At 41.5% G+C, this 16,985-nt stretch overlaps 1 protein-coding gene across 3 annotated transcripts in view; it reads right to left on the reverse strand.

Moving 5' to 3' along the window:
• The window catches only part of ASB11 (ankyrin repeat and SOCS box containing 11), a 33,944-nt gene extending 19,282 nt beyond the window's left edge, over positions 1-14,662 (reverse strand). For 2 of the 3 annotated variants that reach the window (NM_001201583.2, NM_080873.3), the window contains exons 1-2: positions 14,447-14,662; positions 1,750-1,829 (exon numbers count right to left, since the gene is read on the reverse strand). In NM_001201583.2, coding sequence (NP_001188512.1) covers positions 1,750-1,829; positions 14,447-14,627 — 261 coding nt within the window. In that variant the 5' untranslated portion in view covers positions 14,628-14,662. Of the gene's footprint in view, positions 1-1,749; positions 1,830-13,390; positions 13,582-14,446 lie in introns of those variants that run through there. The other variant, NM_001012428.2, reaches the window with a different exon arrangement.

Consider the following 16,985-nt stretch of genomic DNA (forward strand, 5'->3'; position numbering starts at 1 on the left):
TGAGACAGAGTTTCACTCTTTCACCCAGGCTGGAGTGAAGTGACGCGATCTCGGTTCACTGCAACCTCCACCCCGCCAGGTTCAAACGATTTTCCTGCCTCAGCCTCCCAAGTAGCTGGGATTATAGGCGCCCACCACCACGCCTGGCTAATTTTTGTACTTTTAGTACAGATGGGGTTTCACCATGTTGCCCAGGCTGGTCTCGAACTCCTGACCTCAGGTGATCCACCCACCTTGGCCTCCTAAAGTGCTAGGATTACAGGCGTGAGCCACCACATCCGGCCAGTCCACCTTTTTAAATAATTGTAATTTTTGAACTATGTGAATATATTACCTATTAAAAATAATCAAATCACATCCAATTTAAAGTACTTAAAAATAAATAAGCAAGTGATAAAATCAGGTACAAAGTTCATTTGATCATTGCTGGCAGTGCTGATTTCCATTTACCTCTACTTTTTAAGAAGTAACACAACTCATAAAGGAGAAATCAAAAAACAAATAAATGAAAAATACATACACATGCACACACAGACAGAGAGAGAGAGACAGAGAGAGAGAGAGAAAGAAAAAGAGAGAGAGAGAGCAGTGCACCCAGTGGTTTAAATTCAAAGTAGCAAGAAAGCCAGATGATTGCCTAGTTGTGGAAGAAAGACATGATGGCTTACCTCCTCTGTATAAATGTAGACCCTAAAACATACAAAGCAAATGGAGCCTGCACACTTTCATTCATTCATTTCACAAATACTTACCAGGCCCCTACTCATTTTTCAAGGTGCTGGGGATGTAGTCATAAATATAAATAAAGTAGCCTTCATAACTAAGACTTCAATAAATGTTCCCTGGGGAGTCAGATTTACCCATTGTCAACCTATTTTAATGCTTGTTCTTAAAATAGTGTATCATTGGGATAGGCAGCCTCTAAGATAGCACCCAGTAATCCTGGAATCCAGGTATTGCCTCCCTTGTATAATCCCTGCCCCTTGAGTGTGGGCTGGACTTGTTGACTCACACCTAATGAGTAGAATATGGCAGAAGTGACAGAATGTCACTTCGGAGATGAGGTTATAAAACAACTGTGACTTCCTTCTTAGGTACCTCTTGCACTCTCTCTGAGAGAAGCCAGCTGCCATCTCATGACACAGCCCTGTGGAGAGGCTCATGTGGCAAGGAATTGAGGTTTCCCAACAACCACGTGAGTGAGTTTGAAAGCAGATCCTGCCCGCCTTGAGCCATGAGATGACTGCAGCCCTGGCTGACACGTGGCAGCCTGTGAGAGACCCAGAGCCAGAATCACCTAGCTAAGCTGCTCCCTGGCCCACAGAAACCATGAAAATCCAAGTTTCTGTTGTTTTCAGCCATTATGCTTTGAGGTCATTTTTTAGGCAGCAATAGCTGACTAACTTAGCTTCAGGACTGCTGGTGCTAATGCATGCTGGAAGAGCATGAGGTGAGTTAGTGCAACAAACATTTGAGAGCATTCTCTATCATTCCTCATAGGGAAACTTCTTATGAGGTAAAGGAAGGCCCAGAGGAAAAGGAGGGAACTGGGCTGAAAATGAAGGAGCTCTCCAGGAAAGGAGAGGCAGGAGGAGGAGAGGCAGTGAGGTATGAGAGGACATACGTGCCTCGAATGGCAATGGTGGGACCTGGATAGGGTGAGCCACACCTCTGCTACAGCCAAAGCTAATAAAGAATGATGTGTAATTATAGCATAAGCATGAAGGATCAAGTCTTCAGTTCACTTACTTGTGCAATTAAAGTTTTAAGGGCCAGTAAGCGCCCCTGAGCTGCAGCTTCATGAAGTGGGGATCGATCAGCCCAGCAATCTGAAACACAAATCAAGCTCAAAGTCAAGGCCTGGAGACTTCTTCCTGTAACTTGTCCATGCTGCCCACCCACTGTGAGAGGAGGTTTGGGGGAAGAGGAGGGAAGAGGAGGGAAGCAGGTATCACGCATCAGGCTCTCTCGTCAGCCACTTTCAGGGAGACAAGCTACTGAATGTTAAAGTCCTTTACGGTTTGGTGGTGCGTGCCAAGAGAAGGAACAGTCAATCTCTCTGGCTTTTGGGAGGCAATTTTAATAAGCAATAGATTTAGTTCAAAAATATAGTGCTCAGTGCTTGAATCCGATAGCTCTATGTAAGGCAAAATGAAGGGCCAAGAAAGTCAATGAGCCTCCACATTTTTATCCTTCCCCTGCCTTCCACCTTCATCCACACCCCAAAGACTCAACAGCCTGTGTATTATGAAGGAGACTCTAAGGCAGGGGTGTCCAATCTTTTGGTTTCCCTGGGCCGCATTGGAAGGAGTATTGTCTTGGGCCACACATGAAATATACTAACACTAACAATATCTGATGAGCTAAAAAATAAAAATCACAAAAAAATCTCGTAAGTTTTACGAAAATTTATGAATTTGTGTTGGGCCACATTCACAGCCATCCTGGGCCACGAGTTGGACAAGCTTGCTCTGAGGGATCAGTGAAAATGTTTTTTTCCCCAAATTCTCTAGGTAATTTTATCTGCTTCATTTGATAATGAAGACATATCTATTATACTGCAGAATGTCATTTTTCAGACAATTTAATCTCCCAAAAGTTTTTCCCTAAAAGCTTTGTTGTGGGCAGCTTAGTGTGATGACTGAGCATGGGCCAGTGGAGCCAGACTGCTAGGGTTCAAGTCCTACCTTGATCACTTTCTCTGCCAAATTCAGCAAGTTACCAAAATTACTTGAACCCCAGTTTCCTTACTGGTAAGATGGAAATATAATAATCTGATATTTGTCAAGTGCATTGGTCTCTAAGTAGGCCAATCAAATACAACCGCGATGTTAAGTGCTCCGGACATTGTATGATTAATAAGTAGGCACAGTAGAGCAGTGCCATAAGGAACAGCCTTAGAGCCGCCTTCCAGACATATTTTTCTTATAATTGCTTATCTGCAAACAAGACTAACTAGTTTAAATGAGCATTTGAGAAGTAACCCCCCATTAAACCTGCCAAAGGGCAATCAATTGTTTTGGAAGAAAACCTACTCCAGTTTGCAAAATGTAGGACTTTTTCACATTATGGTTGTGCTTTTCATGCACTGAATAGAATGTAATATAATTTGGATTTAACACAAAGGCTCCTCAACCTCTTGTGGGTGATCCTGATGGTGTTAAAAACTCAGGTTTCCATACCTATAAACTTGGTGAAACGAAAATCCCAGCAAAAATGGAATTGTGTGAATTTGAAATAACTGAAGGCCTTAAGGAAAGAAAGAATTTTTCCAGTGGATGAGAATCAGGGTTAGAAACATTTCAATAAGCCCTCCTCCTACACTGAAACTCAATGTATGAACTTCTCTCACCCTTTGGGTTCTGAAAATGGGGGAAACTTGAATGCACTTTACGAGGTTGGATTGATATTGGAGCAATTAGCATGAAAATGTGATTTTCAATATATCTAGATATAAAAGTAAATTTAAATGTAAAACATAGATGTGCGTATATACGTATTTTTTTTTAGCATGGTGCACTGAGAAAACCTGAACCCGGACTCCTTAGAGAAATGTTGATCCCAGGTCTGGGCCAGGTAAAATACAAGATGGGCCTTAAACATCTTCCAAGAAAGTAAGAAAGTGCTGGCCAGGCTCACGCCTGTAATCCCAGCACTTTGGGAAGCTGAGGCGGGCAGATCACGAGGTTAGGAGTTCGAGACCAGCCTGGCCAGCATGGTGAAACCCTGTCTCTGATAAAAATACAAAAATTAGGGTGTGGTGGTGCACGCCTGTAGTGCCAGCTACTCAGGAGGCTGAGGCAGAAGAATCGCTTGAACCCGGGAGGCAGAGGTTGCAGTGAGCTAAGATTATGCCACTGTACTCTGGCCTGGGTGACAAAAAGACACAGATGCTGGCTTGATGGGGCTTCCATTGGCCAAATATGGGAAAACCTGATTTCAAAATAAACAATAAGAGATTATATCTTATCAAATAAAATGGTAATCTAGAAGTCCTCACTGATATAAATGAATATATAAAGACAGAGAAGAGAAAGTGCTTCCTTATAATAAAATCCCAACTTAGAAATTGAAGAAATAATAGAATCAGCTTCAACTCATCTCCCTGCAAAATAATGACTAACTAGAAAAGGAACAGGGATAATTTTATAGAACAGAATTGTAGACATCACTTTGCCCAAGTGATCAAAGTTAACATCAGCAAAGTTAACACCAGTGATGGAACAGATTGTCATCTGATGGAATGCGATGAGCAACATCATGTGCCATAAGAAGAAACATAATGAGAAGAACACACCACCGCTTCTGTGATATTTCTGCCCAAAATGCATAACCAAAATCTGATAAGGAGGAAACTGTGCACCAACCCAAACTGAGGGGACATTTTACAAAATAATTGGAGAGACTGAGGAACAGTTCCAGATTGAAAGGGATGACGAAACGCGCTATCTAAAGGCAAGACACCTGATCCTTTTGCTATAAAGGACATTATTAGGACCGTTGGCTAAACATGAATGGAGTCTCTGGGTGAAGAGAAGCAGGAATTTTTTTGTACTGTTCTTGTAACTTTTCTGTCGGCTGAAATTATTTCCAAACATTTTAACAAGAAAAAAAAAGATTAGATAGATAGATAGATAGATAGATAGATAGATAGATAGATAGAATCACTGGTGATCCCATACTCCTGATATGAATGTGTATTGCTTTTTATAATAACAAAGAAAAACAGATAAAAAATTTTCCAAAGAAAATAATTATATGCAATAGACATCATCAATTTTATGTTTTTTGACTTTTATCTTAAGTTCAGGGGTACATGTGCAGGATGTGCAGGTTTGTTCCATAGGTAAACTTGTGCCATGGGGGTTTGTTTTACAGAGTATTTCATCACCCAGGTATTAAGCCTAGTATCCTTTAGTTATTTTTCCTGATCGTCTCACTCCTCCTACCCTCCACCCTCCAATAGGCCCCAGTGTATGTTGTTCCCCTCTACGTGTCCATGTGTTCTCATCATTTAGCTCCACTTATAAGTGAGAACATGTGGCATTTGGTTTTCTGTTCCTGTTAGTTTTCTAAGGATAATGGCCTCCAGCTCCATCCATGTCTCTGCAAAGGACATGATCTCATTCTTTTTTATGACTACATAGTATTGCATAATGTATATGTACCACATTTTCTTTACCCAGTCTGTCATTGATGGGCATTTGGGTTGAGTCCATGTCTTTGTTATTGTGATTAGTGCTGTAATGAACATATGCACGTATGTGTCCTTATAACAGAACAATTCATATGCCTTTAGGTATATACCCAGTAATGGGATTGCTGAGTCGAATGGTATTTCAAAAACAGATAAAAATTTTTAACATGAGCATATATTGCATTTGTATTTACCCTTGTCTTTAGTTGGTTGAAAGCTGACAAGTAGAATATTTTAAACTCTCTTTGAGGCCGGGTGCAGTGGCTCACGCTGTAATCCCAGCACTTTGGGAGGCTGAGGCAGGTGGATCACCTGAGGTCAGGAGTTTGAAACCAGCCTGGCCAACATGAAACCCCATCTCTACTAAAAATATAAAAATTAGCCTGGCACGGTGGTAGGCGCCTGTAATCCCAGCTACTTGGGAGGCTGAGGCAGGAGAATCACTTGAACCCGGGAGGTGGAGGCTGCAGTGAGCCAAGATCACGCCATTGCACTCCAGCTTGGGTGACACAGTGACACTTTGTCTCAAACAACAACAACAACAACAACAACAACAACAACTCTTTGGATATTTATAATTTGCATAAACTGGAAATAATGAGACAATGTATGCATATAATTACCAATTAGTGAGGCTTTTCCTCTAATATGTCTGCATCTCATTCAATATGAAATGTACTTCAGACATGTTACGCTCTTGCCTAGTTGCTCTTGGAAGTGAATGCATGCACTGGGGTTGGTAGGACAGTCTTTACCCATGGCTGCCAGCTCGGCACCCTGACCAATGGAAGAGGCAAACCCATAACTGTGGCTTTGTCATTTCATTGTTCTGACAATAACCAGTCAACCTGAGTCACTTGAAGGTACTGTAAGTATTCCATTTAAAAATAAAGACAGGATTTAAGTGGCAACTTGCAATTAAAAGAGTTAACATAGGTTATCAACACGAATGTTTTCATTATTTCTAAAACTTGTCTCCAAGTGGGCTGTGGTGATCCTCATTTTCTAGTAACTTTCCGTTACTTATCAGTCCCATTAGACTCAAGTCATATACACAACATGGATAAATCTCACAAACCTAATGTTGAGTGAAAGAAGCCAGACACAAAAGAACATGTACCGTGTGATTTGGTTTCTATAAAGCAGCAGTCCCCAACCTTTTTGCCACCAAGGACTGGTTTCATGGAAGACAATTTTTCCACAGATGAGGGTGGGCAGGGGATGGTTTCAGGATGACACTGTACCACCTCAGATCATCAGGCATTAGATTCTCATAAAGAGAATGTAATCTAGGTCCCTTGCATGTGCAGTTCACAATAGGGCTCACACTCCTATGAGAATCTAATGCCACCACTGATCTGACAGAAGGCGGAGCTCAAGCAGTAATGTCCCTCACCTGCCGCTCACCTCCTGCTGTATGGCCCAGTTCCTAACAGGCCATGGACTGGTACTGGTCTGTGGCCTGGGGGTTGGAGACCCCTGCTATAAAGTACACAAGGAAGGGAAACTTGCCTTGGGTGTTAGGAGTCAAAAGCACCCCGAGGAGGGGTGAGGACTGTTTGCAAGAGGGCATGGTGGGGGCCATGCTGATAATATGCAATTTCTTGCTCTTAGGTGCTGGTTCCTGACTGTGTTCACTTTGTGAAAATTCATGCAGTTGTTCACTTAGGATTTGTGCATGTCTCTGTATTTACATCATACTTTCATGAAGAGTTTCTAAAGTAACACAGACTAGCCCTCTTTCTAGCTGTAATCTCTGATCCTCTTCACAGCTCCTGGCCTTTTCCCACTCCCAGGGCAGGGTATGGCCTTCTCCAGCCCACCCAGCAGCTGGAGACAGAAGGGCAGCATGTTCTTCACATGCTTCCCACCTCCTTCTTCTAGGGTCCAACCCTTTAGTGCCTTGGGAGTGGGGAGAAACAAGAGGGACAGGAAAGGGAAATGGGATGGGAAGTGTTAACTGGAAGAGGAGGCTGGTCCTGCTTGATCAGTCTCAACTGCAGGCCTCACTCCAGGTCTGTGGCATGCCCTTCACACTGGGGCTTACACCCATGTACCTTTTCTACCCATTGGCATTTGGCCACCTCTCCTAGTGTCTGTCATCACTGCAGCATCCTCTGATGTCCCCAACTCTGATCCTGTGCCTCTGAGATCAAGGTTAACAAGCCTGTGGTGCCATCTTTCATTCCACCAAGAAAGAGGGAATGGTGGTTGTCCTGGGCTTCTCCCTCACCACATTGCTGCTTTCCAATTCTCTTCCTCATATTCATCTGGCATGGGGGGTTCAGCAAGTTGTCTCTCTAAGCAGATTTCCAACTTGAGAGTGAAATTCCAGGCTCCCCTCCTTTTGAATGCCCCTTATCTAAACTTGTATTGCTCCCAGAGTACCCATCCCATAGCTTCCAGTGAAGGGGGGAAAAGCCTTGCTTTGCTGAATGGTAACACCCCAAAATGCATGACAACCACTGCTCCACATGAAGCTGTCTCATGGCTAGGAAGTATCAGAAATAGGACTGAAACCCTAGTTATGGGGACTTTAGAACACACCTTGTTCTGGTTTTAAGAACTATTGGTTTTTAATTTCTCCTTATTCTCGTGGTAGATTGACTTGTCTTGGGTTGCTCTGACATCCACCTCCTCTTTATAAATCAGGGGTCCCTAACCCCTGGGCCATTCCGTGGCCTGTTAGGAACCGGGCTGCACAGCAGGAAGTGAGCAGCAGGTGAGCAAGTGAAGCTTCTTCTGTATTTTTCTTTTTTGAGATGGAGTCTCGCTCTGTCCCCTAGGCTGGAGTGCAGTGGTGCAATCTCAGCTTACTGCAACCTCTGCCTCCCAGGTTCAAGAGATTCTCTGGCCTCAGCCTCCCGAGTAGCTGGGACTACAGACACACATCACCACTCCCAGCTAATTTTAGTATTTTTAGTAGAGACGGGATTTCGCCATGTTGCCCAGGCTGGTCTTGAACTCCTGACCTCAAGTGATCCACTTGCCTCGGCCTCCCAAAATGCTGGCATTACAGGCATGAGCCACTGTGCCCGGATGCTTCTTCTGTATTTACAGCCACTCCCCTTTGCTTGCATTACCTCCTGAGCTCTGCCTCCTGTCAGATCATCAGTGGCACTAGATTCTTAGAAGAGTGTGAACTGAACATACAAGGGATCTAGGATGGGCGCTCCTTATGAGTCTAATGCCTGATGATCTGTCACTGTCTCCCATCACCCCTAGATGGGACCATCTAGTTGCAGGAAAACAAGCTCAGGGCTCCCACAGATTCTACATTATGGTGAGTTGTATAATTATTTGATTATATATTACAATGTAATAATAATACAAATAAAGTGCACAATAAATGTAATGCACAAGAATCATCCCAAAACCATCCCCCCACACCCTGGTCCATGGAGAAATTGTCTTCCATGAAACCAGTCCCTGGTGCCAAGAAGGTTGGGGACCACTGCTATAAATGGTGTGAAATAAACCAATTGTACCACCCTAAAAGTAGAGATCCAGGGCTGGGTGCAGTGGCTCACGCCTGTAATCCCAGCACTTTGGGAGACTGAGGCGGGTGGATCACGAGGTCAGGAGATCGAGACCATCCTGGCTAACATGGTGAAACCCCATCTCTACTAAATGTACAAAAAAATTAGCCAGGCGTGGTGGCGGGCGCCTGTAGTCCCAGCTACCTGGGAGGCTGAGGCAGGAGAATGGTGTGAACCCGAGAGACGGAGCTCGCAGTGAGCCGAGATCGCGCCACTGCACTCCAGCCTGGGCGACAGAGCAAGACTCCGTCTCAAAAAAAAAAAAAAAAAAAAAAAAGTAGAAGTCCTTTTTGTTTCCCAACTGGAAACGAAGTAACTCTCAAGAAAGTAGCCTTTCTAGTTCCATCATTTCCCAGAACTTGCTTCAAAGGACCTTCAAGGGTTTTCACACAGAACCCTTTTCCAGAAACTGCCACAGTGGGGTCTCCTGCTTTTCTATCCTTGTTCCCAACAGAGTCTCTCACTCTTACCATTCTCATTTTGCAAACTGGAGCTAATTGTGAGAAATTGAGGATAAAAGTTACTTGGCAGCTTGGGAGTTTTTCCATTCCCTTCAGGAAGTATGCAACTGAGCTCTCCAAATAAATGAATGCTTAAGTAGGACTCAATCATTCTCTTCTAAGGCAATCTATTTTTAGTTTTTTGGCAGATCGCCCGTGTCACAGGGCTGCAAACACATTATGAAGATAGTTTACTCTACAAATATGTTTGCTTATTCCTGATGAGGTGTACGGAAAATGTTCAAGTGCTTTTTCATTTCCCCCTTTGAATTTTTCTCAGAATGTGATTTGTATCTCAGACTGTTTGAATGACAACTTCACAACAACTTCTAAAACCGTATATATTTCAATAACATTGGTTCAGATGGAGTACAGCTGTCTAAGTTCCAACCATTTGAGATAAAAAACGATTAAACTGTTTTTGTAATTTTTACTCTAATTTCAACAAGTATTTCAGATTACTGTTTTTTTATTTAAAAAGATGACCCAACAGCCGGGCGCGGTGGCTTATGCCTGTAATCCCAGCACTTTGGGAGGCCAAGGCAGGTGGATAACCTAAGGTCAGGAGTTCGAGACCAGCCTGGCCAACATGGTGAAACCCTGTCTCTACTAAAAATACAAAAATTAGCCAGTGTGGTGGCGGGCGCCTGTACTCCCAGCTACTCAGCAGGCTGAGGCAGGAGAATCACTTGAACCCAGGAGGCAGAGGTTGCAGTGAGCCGAGATCACATCACTGCACTCCAGCTTGGGCAATAAGAGCGAAACTCCAACTCAAAAAATAAAAAATAAAATCATATGAAACAAATCTTCTGTAGCATTTATTAAGGAAAAGAAAATTCATAAGGAATTTTAATTTTGAACCAAAATACAGGCAAGAGCCTAGCAGAATTAATGGTATTTTATGTGAAACAAAGGTAACTGGGAAAATAGAATGTATTTCCTGAGATATCTAAAATATTGTAATAAAACTGAGTTAAAATAAATATTCTCCAGAATGTCCAGTCCTAGAGAGGAGATGAGACACAGTGAGCTGTGTTAGACACAATTAACTATGTTGCAGTGTATTAGAAAGAAGGCTCCTTTGAACTCTTAAGGGCGGGAGAGCTGAGCTAAAGGAGACTGGTGGAAGGTAGAGCCTCTGCCAAGGACTGGTTGTCCCAACCTAGGAAAAGCCAGCAGGCACCTGATATGCAACTTAGAGGATGGTTAGGCCAATGTTTGTGGAGACAACCAGCAAAACTAAATAAGAGCAGAAGGCTAGGTCGAGGTTTGGGCAAGAATGAAACTAAGGCGATCCTATTGGAATGGAAAAGACAGGAAAAAGGATTCAGAATGCTGAGTTAGGCAGAGGCATAGCTGTCAAATCATGGTCAGTCCATCAACAAGTGATTTTAAGCATAAAACTTAGAATAGGACTGATCTTTTAGACACAGCTTAAAATAGCCCTTTTTTTTTTTGAAAGAGGGCACTACAGTTCTACAACGTCTTATCTGCACTTGTAAAGTTCCTCCAATTCTGAAAACCAAGCTTTACCCCAAATTTGATGCAAACTTGTTTAGCAGCAAAGCATGGCCAGGACTTAGGTTAAGCAATTTATTATTTGTTTTATATTTCCATCTAGTGTGAATACCTATATGTTCACTATAGAAAGATCAAAATGTTTGACTGTGGGAGGCAGCTCCAGGCCCCACCAGAAGTGCTGTGCAATAGACAGTATGCACATTGTATGATCTTTCTAACATTCAAAAGCTATTGAATTCTGAAACATGGCTGGCTGAAGGGTTATGAATAACAGATGATCAATCTGTATCTACACTATATTTTCTTTCTTGATGACCAAGTCACAGTACTAAACATAGCTTAATACAAATTAGCAAAGCTTGAAAAATCATACAATACATCTCTCCTGAGAAAGTGCCTGCAGAAATATCTATGGACTGAAGGTGGGATCCAGTGATCCATCTGGTGCTCTAGGCATAACACCAAAGGCCAAGGACAATGTATTAAACTTTAAAAAAGAAAAAAAAATATACATATAATAGACAAAATAAACAAAGAAGCTTAAAAACCAAAACTAATAACAGTCAACCATGGCTTAATTCAACTATGATGAGTGATCAGCAAATGTAATAGTTTAAGCCACAAAGACATATAAAATAATGTATTCCAGACTATGAAATCCACCCCCACCCGCCCACTGCACAAAAAAAAAAAAAAAAAAACAACTTTCCAAAAGGTTTTACAGCACAAAGAATGATATTTAATGAGGCATGTGGTGTTAAATGCAGCTTCCAAAAAAAAAAAAAAAAAAGAGTGCTCTGGACCTACAAAAGTCTAACCTGTGTGCTGGCTAGGTTTTTCCTGCCCTTCCTTGCTTTTGACATTGCTGACAATAGTTTACAGGAATAGCATATGCTAGCAGACTCAAGAAACTTAACCTTGGGCTGGGACTTTTGTAAGTCAATTAGCTAATTTACTGATTAAATGTCATATATTTTCCCAACAAACATTTGTCTGACCAGTGCAAAAGTGACCAAAAGCAAAGGTGATTTCTGGTTTGAGTTTGATTTCTGGTTTGAGTTTAACACTTCCACAAAATTTTGTTCTTGATTTTTAATACACCTAAATATATTGTTATGGGATAATTTAGGAATTAGAGAGACTGAGGGGTTGAGGAGGATTTATTGTTTAGGTGTATTGGCCTAGTTGCATTAATATTTAAAGGACTGGGTTTTGAATAAAGAGTTGTTATTTTTTAAGTATTTTGTGGGGCGGGGGAAGATTTGTAATAATATAGTATCTGACTGTTAACAGTGGTATCAAAAGAAAAACACAGAACCATGTGAAAAATACTGGTCCAGGCATGTTACTGCCTACATTCTTATAGAAAGACTTATTTAGCGGCCAGGCACAGGTGCTCACACCTATAATCCCAGCACTTTGGGAGGCCAAGGTGGGCAGATCACTTGAGGTCAGGAGTTCGAGACCAGCCTGGCCAACATAGCGAAACCCCATCTCTACTAAAAATACAAAAATTAGCCGGGCGTGGTGGCGTGCGCCTATAATCCCAGCTACTCAGGAGGCTGAGGCACGAGAATTGCTTGAACCCCAGAGGAGGAGGTTGCACTGAGCTAAGATCGTGCCACTGAACTCCAGCCTGGGTGACAGAGCAAGAATCCATCTCAAAACAAACAAAAAAACAGAAAGTCTTATTTACCAAATCTTGGTAAATTTGGGGGTGGGGGGATTCGTGTATATGTATACACACACACACACACATATACATATATATATGAAAGAAATAAAACTGGGAAATTAACATGCACCATTCCCTGCCTCTTTAACAATAATTGAAAAATGTTTTTGACCTTAGAATACTATGCTACTTGCAAATTAACCTATTTTAAGAGATTGAACAAGTAAAGATATTTGCACTACAGAATGAACGAACTGTATTTAAGAGATTTGTATTCCAGCTCCAGATTAAATTCAAACCATGCTTACATGGGTTTTGACTATAAGGAGGTTTTATACCTTTTTTAAGAGTGCACTTGAGGCCGGGCGCGGTGGCTCACGCCTGTAATCCCAGCACTTTGCGAGGCCGAGGCGGGCGGATCATGAGGTCAGGAGTTCAAGACCAGCCTGGCCAACATGGTGAAACCCTGTCTCTACTAAAAATACAAAAAAATTAGCTGGGCATGGTGGCGTGTGCCTGTAATCCCAGCTACTCAGGAGGCTAAGACAGGAGAATTGCTTCAACCGGGACCTGGGAGGCGGAGGTTGCAGTGAGCCGAGATGGTGCCACTGCACTCCAGCCTAGGCTACAGAGCGAGACTCCATCTCAAAAAAAAAAAAAAAAAAAAAGAGTGCACTTAATTAAAGACCACAAAGACAGAAATAATGCGCAGGTGCAACAGGAGAAAACATTTGTAACATGTTCTTGCCAATATTGACTTTGTTGGACTTCATCTAATTTAGACCAGAAGAATGATTTATCTATGAGAACACCAAAACTATTATTGAAAATTTTAGAAAGCCCTTGCCCAAATTGACAAATTAAATTAGAAGATAACTTTTCAGATCATGCTTAACTTGAAACTTATCAGAAGCATTACTTTTTTTTTTTTTTTTTGTAACTAGTCAAAGTAACATACCTCCCTGAAATGTGTGACAAATATAATCCCCAAAAGAAATCTCTTTCCATGGTCCGGACCTTCTGATACGTTCTGAAACTTCACAATTCTTCTCATTTTCCCCAGTTAATTGAAGCATTCTGATGCTTCGTCCTTGGAGGTCTTATTTCTTTAGATAAGACTGCTGTTGTCTAGTGTCTTCTGAGTTGTCTAGTGTATTGGAATCACATAAGACTATTTTGAAAGAGAATCCTGGATGCAAATTGAAATGGATACTAGATAAAGAATGATGTAATCCTGGAACCCCTGCAAACACTAAAAATACACGGGGAAATTCTGAACTCTGTTTATGAATAAATACTCCTCTATTAAGTGACAATCCCAGGAGTGACAGGGATATCTGACTCATTTACTTTTGTAGCATCTCACCACAATTAAAGTAAATCATTTCTTGAAAGAAATGGACACTATTCTCTACAAAGCATGAGAATTTAAAATGTTTTGCCCAAATCTTGGCATTTCATGTTAGAATAAACTTTGTTTGGAGTGCTTTGCATGCTACCATATAAAATGGGTTTAGTGAAGAGCTTTTCCTGACAGTGACAAGTGGTTAATCAATTCCAGTTGCAAATGACAGCAAAAAAAATACACATAGCTTGCCACGTTTGCTGCTTTAATTATAATTTATTAGTCATTCTATTTCCTGAGAGAATTTAGTCTGGTTAGAATGCCCTTCATTGTTAAAGTTTGCTTTAAAATATTAAAGAAAATAATTATATACAAGTAATTACTTTGGCTAGTAGAAATGAAGTTTCTCAAAATACTCTTAGTAAGCCACTACCTATTTACTTCTTAAATAACAACTGCTACAAGATCTACGAACTTGCAAAAAATAAAGCTGAAAATCCTCCACAAATTGATGCAGCCAACAGCATTTGCTACTTTAAGTGACAATTTTTCAAACTACCCACTTAAAATCAAAGTATAAATATAATCTGCCTTCCAGAAATACTAGTCATATGAATTATCTAGGAGGGATTTTCTTTAAATATTAGGAACAAATTCATGTACTTTTACCTGAAATTCCACCATAGATCTCTTCTGCTATCCTAGCCGCTTCTTTTCTATTTCCTTTGACGATATAGAAATGGGTTAGGAGAGCCAAAAAAACTTTAATTAAAAGCTTAAAGAAAAAAAACGTAGCAAACATTGTAATAAAAATGTTTTTAAAGCCATAGAAAACAGGACCATCTTCCATTTTGGCTTATGCTCTGTATAGGGTCCTAGGACTGTAAAATTTCACTGAGTTATAATTGGTATCATATGACATCTATTTTAAACCTTCTAGCACTCAGTGCTCCTGTTACCGAGATCTCTGTAGGTTCTAATCTAACTGATTTGGCGACTGCATGTGCTGACTCCACAGCAGTGTTAAATAAACTAAAGAAACTTCCTTCTAACCAGAAACATCCAATAGTTCTAGAACTACATAACTCAGTACTATCTAACAGATAAGATTCATATCCAAACATTTTATATTCCTAAACCCCTATTTTTCCTATTTTATGTTAGAAAGCAGGGTTGGAAAGATAGAAACTTCTTGGCTTCCACAGAAACAAAGCAAGTTATTTGACATACAAAAGAAGTGCAAATATGCTGTATGTTCTAAGTGGGAAATACTACTCCCTGGAGCATTTCATTTTCTCTTAATTCTGAAGTTTATAGAGGATTAAATCCAAATCTAAAATATGACCAGTTAAAAAAGACCATTTACCTGGCCGGGCGCGGTGGTTGACTCCTGTAATCCCAGCACTTTGGGAGGCTGAAGCAGGCGGATCACCTGAGGTCAGGAGTTTGCGACCAGCCTGGCCAACATGGCGAAACCCCCGTCTCTACTAAAAGTACAAAAATTAGCTGGGCGTGGTGGCAGGTGCCTGTAATCCCAGCTACTCAGGAGGCTGAGGCAGGAGAATTGCTTGAACCTGGGAGGCGGAGGTTGCAGTGAGCCGAGATCGCGCCACTGCACTCCAGCCTGGGTGACAAGAGCAAGATTCTGTCTCAAAAAAAAAAAAAAAAAAGACAATTTACCCTAAAGCTGTATGTATGTATGTATGCATGTATGCACGTATGTATGTATTTAGTTTTAAGATGGAGTCTTACTCTGTTGCCCAGGCTGGAGTGCAATGGTGCGATCGCGGCTCACTGCAACCTCTGCCTCCTGGGTTCAAGCGATTCTCCTGCCTCAGCCTCCCAAGAAGCTGGGATTACAGGCATGCGTCACCACGCCTGGATAATTTTCGTATTTTTAGTAGAGACGAGGTTTCGCCATGTTGGCCAGGCTGGTCTCGAACCCCTGACCTCAGGTGATCCACCCACTTTGGCCTCCCAAAGTGCTAGGATTACAGGTGTGAGCCACTGCACCCGGCCAAGCCTGTATTTAATAAAAGGCCTATCTTGGATGCCTCTCCAAGTAAGTGTCACACTAGAAGCATCAGACTACTCGCCATGGTAGTTCCATCTGGGACAAGGTCCCATGGCAAGGTTCCCTCCTGATCATTCACTTGCATTTCAAGCATTGGTAAAGGTGGTGCCCATTTCTGAAAAATGTGGGCTATCCTTGATCATGGAAGAGTCATAGTGAAATGGACAAAAGAGATGCCCTAGGTTCTGGATGAAGTACCCAAATATTTCATGAATCAACCTTCTCTAGTTGGGCAATTTTCTCTTATCAGCTGGCCAACACAAGTGAAATGGGTTTATTTTTAGTTTTCCTCATCACTCTAGGTCTCTGCCTTCATTCTTGGCTATGTTCGATTTTGTAAATTTTAAAAATCAATTGAAAAGACAAGCCAAAATATAGTTATACAAGTGGCCTAATAAATCTTAACAAATGATTTATGCAAAAATATGGGAATTTCTCCTAGCATGCAGGCAAATTAGAATGACTGCCTGGTTAAGAACTGTTTCACTACATTAAAAAGCTGACATGTAAGAATACAATCTTGAGTCACAACATACAGCTCATCGATTTCAGTGTATCAGAGCACTATAAAGACCTTGAGTCGTCTTAACTCTCAAGGAACAGACATTAACATAAGATTTACTTTACTGAGCTTATATTACCTGGTAGAATGCCAGTGTATGAAAATACATGAATACAACTCTTTTAGTCCTTTTCATTTATCTTTCTTCAATTATACTCTAAGTAGGCAATCATTTAGTCATGTCAGACCAGTGATGTACATTGTTCTATAACATTATTCAATCTTGTTTTGGTCTTTTCATTTAAAACATGGCTGTCCTATGTTTTACACGCCAAAAAAGTTGGCCATGAAAAGCTCAACTTTATTAAGGTTCAAATGGGTGTCTATACTATTTCTGAGAGGCCATCTTTTTTTTTTTTTTTTTTTTTTGAGACGGAGTCTCACTCTGACTCCTAGGCTGGAGTGCAGTGGCGCAATCTCGGCTCACTGCAAGCTCCGCCTCCCGGGTTCACGCCATTCTCCTGCCTCAGCCTCCCAAGTAGCTGGGACTACAGGTGCTCGCCACCACGCCCAGCTAATTTTTTGTATTTTTAGTAGACACGGGGTTTCACCGTGTTAGCCGGGATGGTCTC

Source organism: Homo sapiens, chromosome X, assembly GCF_000001405.40.
Source record: "Homo sapiens chromosome X, GRCh38.p14 Primary Assembly".
In the NCBI taxonomy this organism is placed as follows: Eukaryota; Metazoa; Chordata; class Mammalia; order Primates; family Hominidae; genus Homo; species Homo sapiens.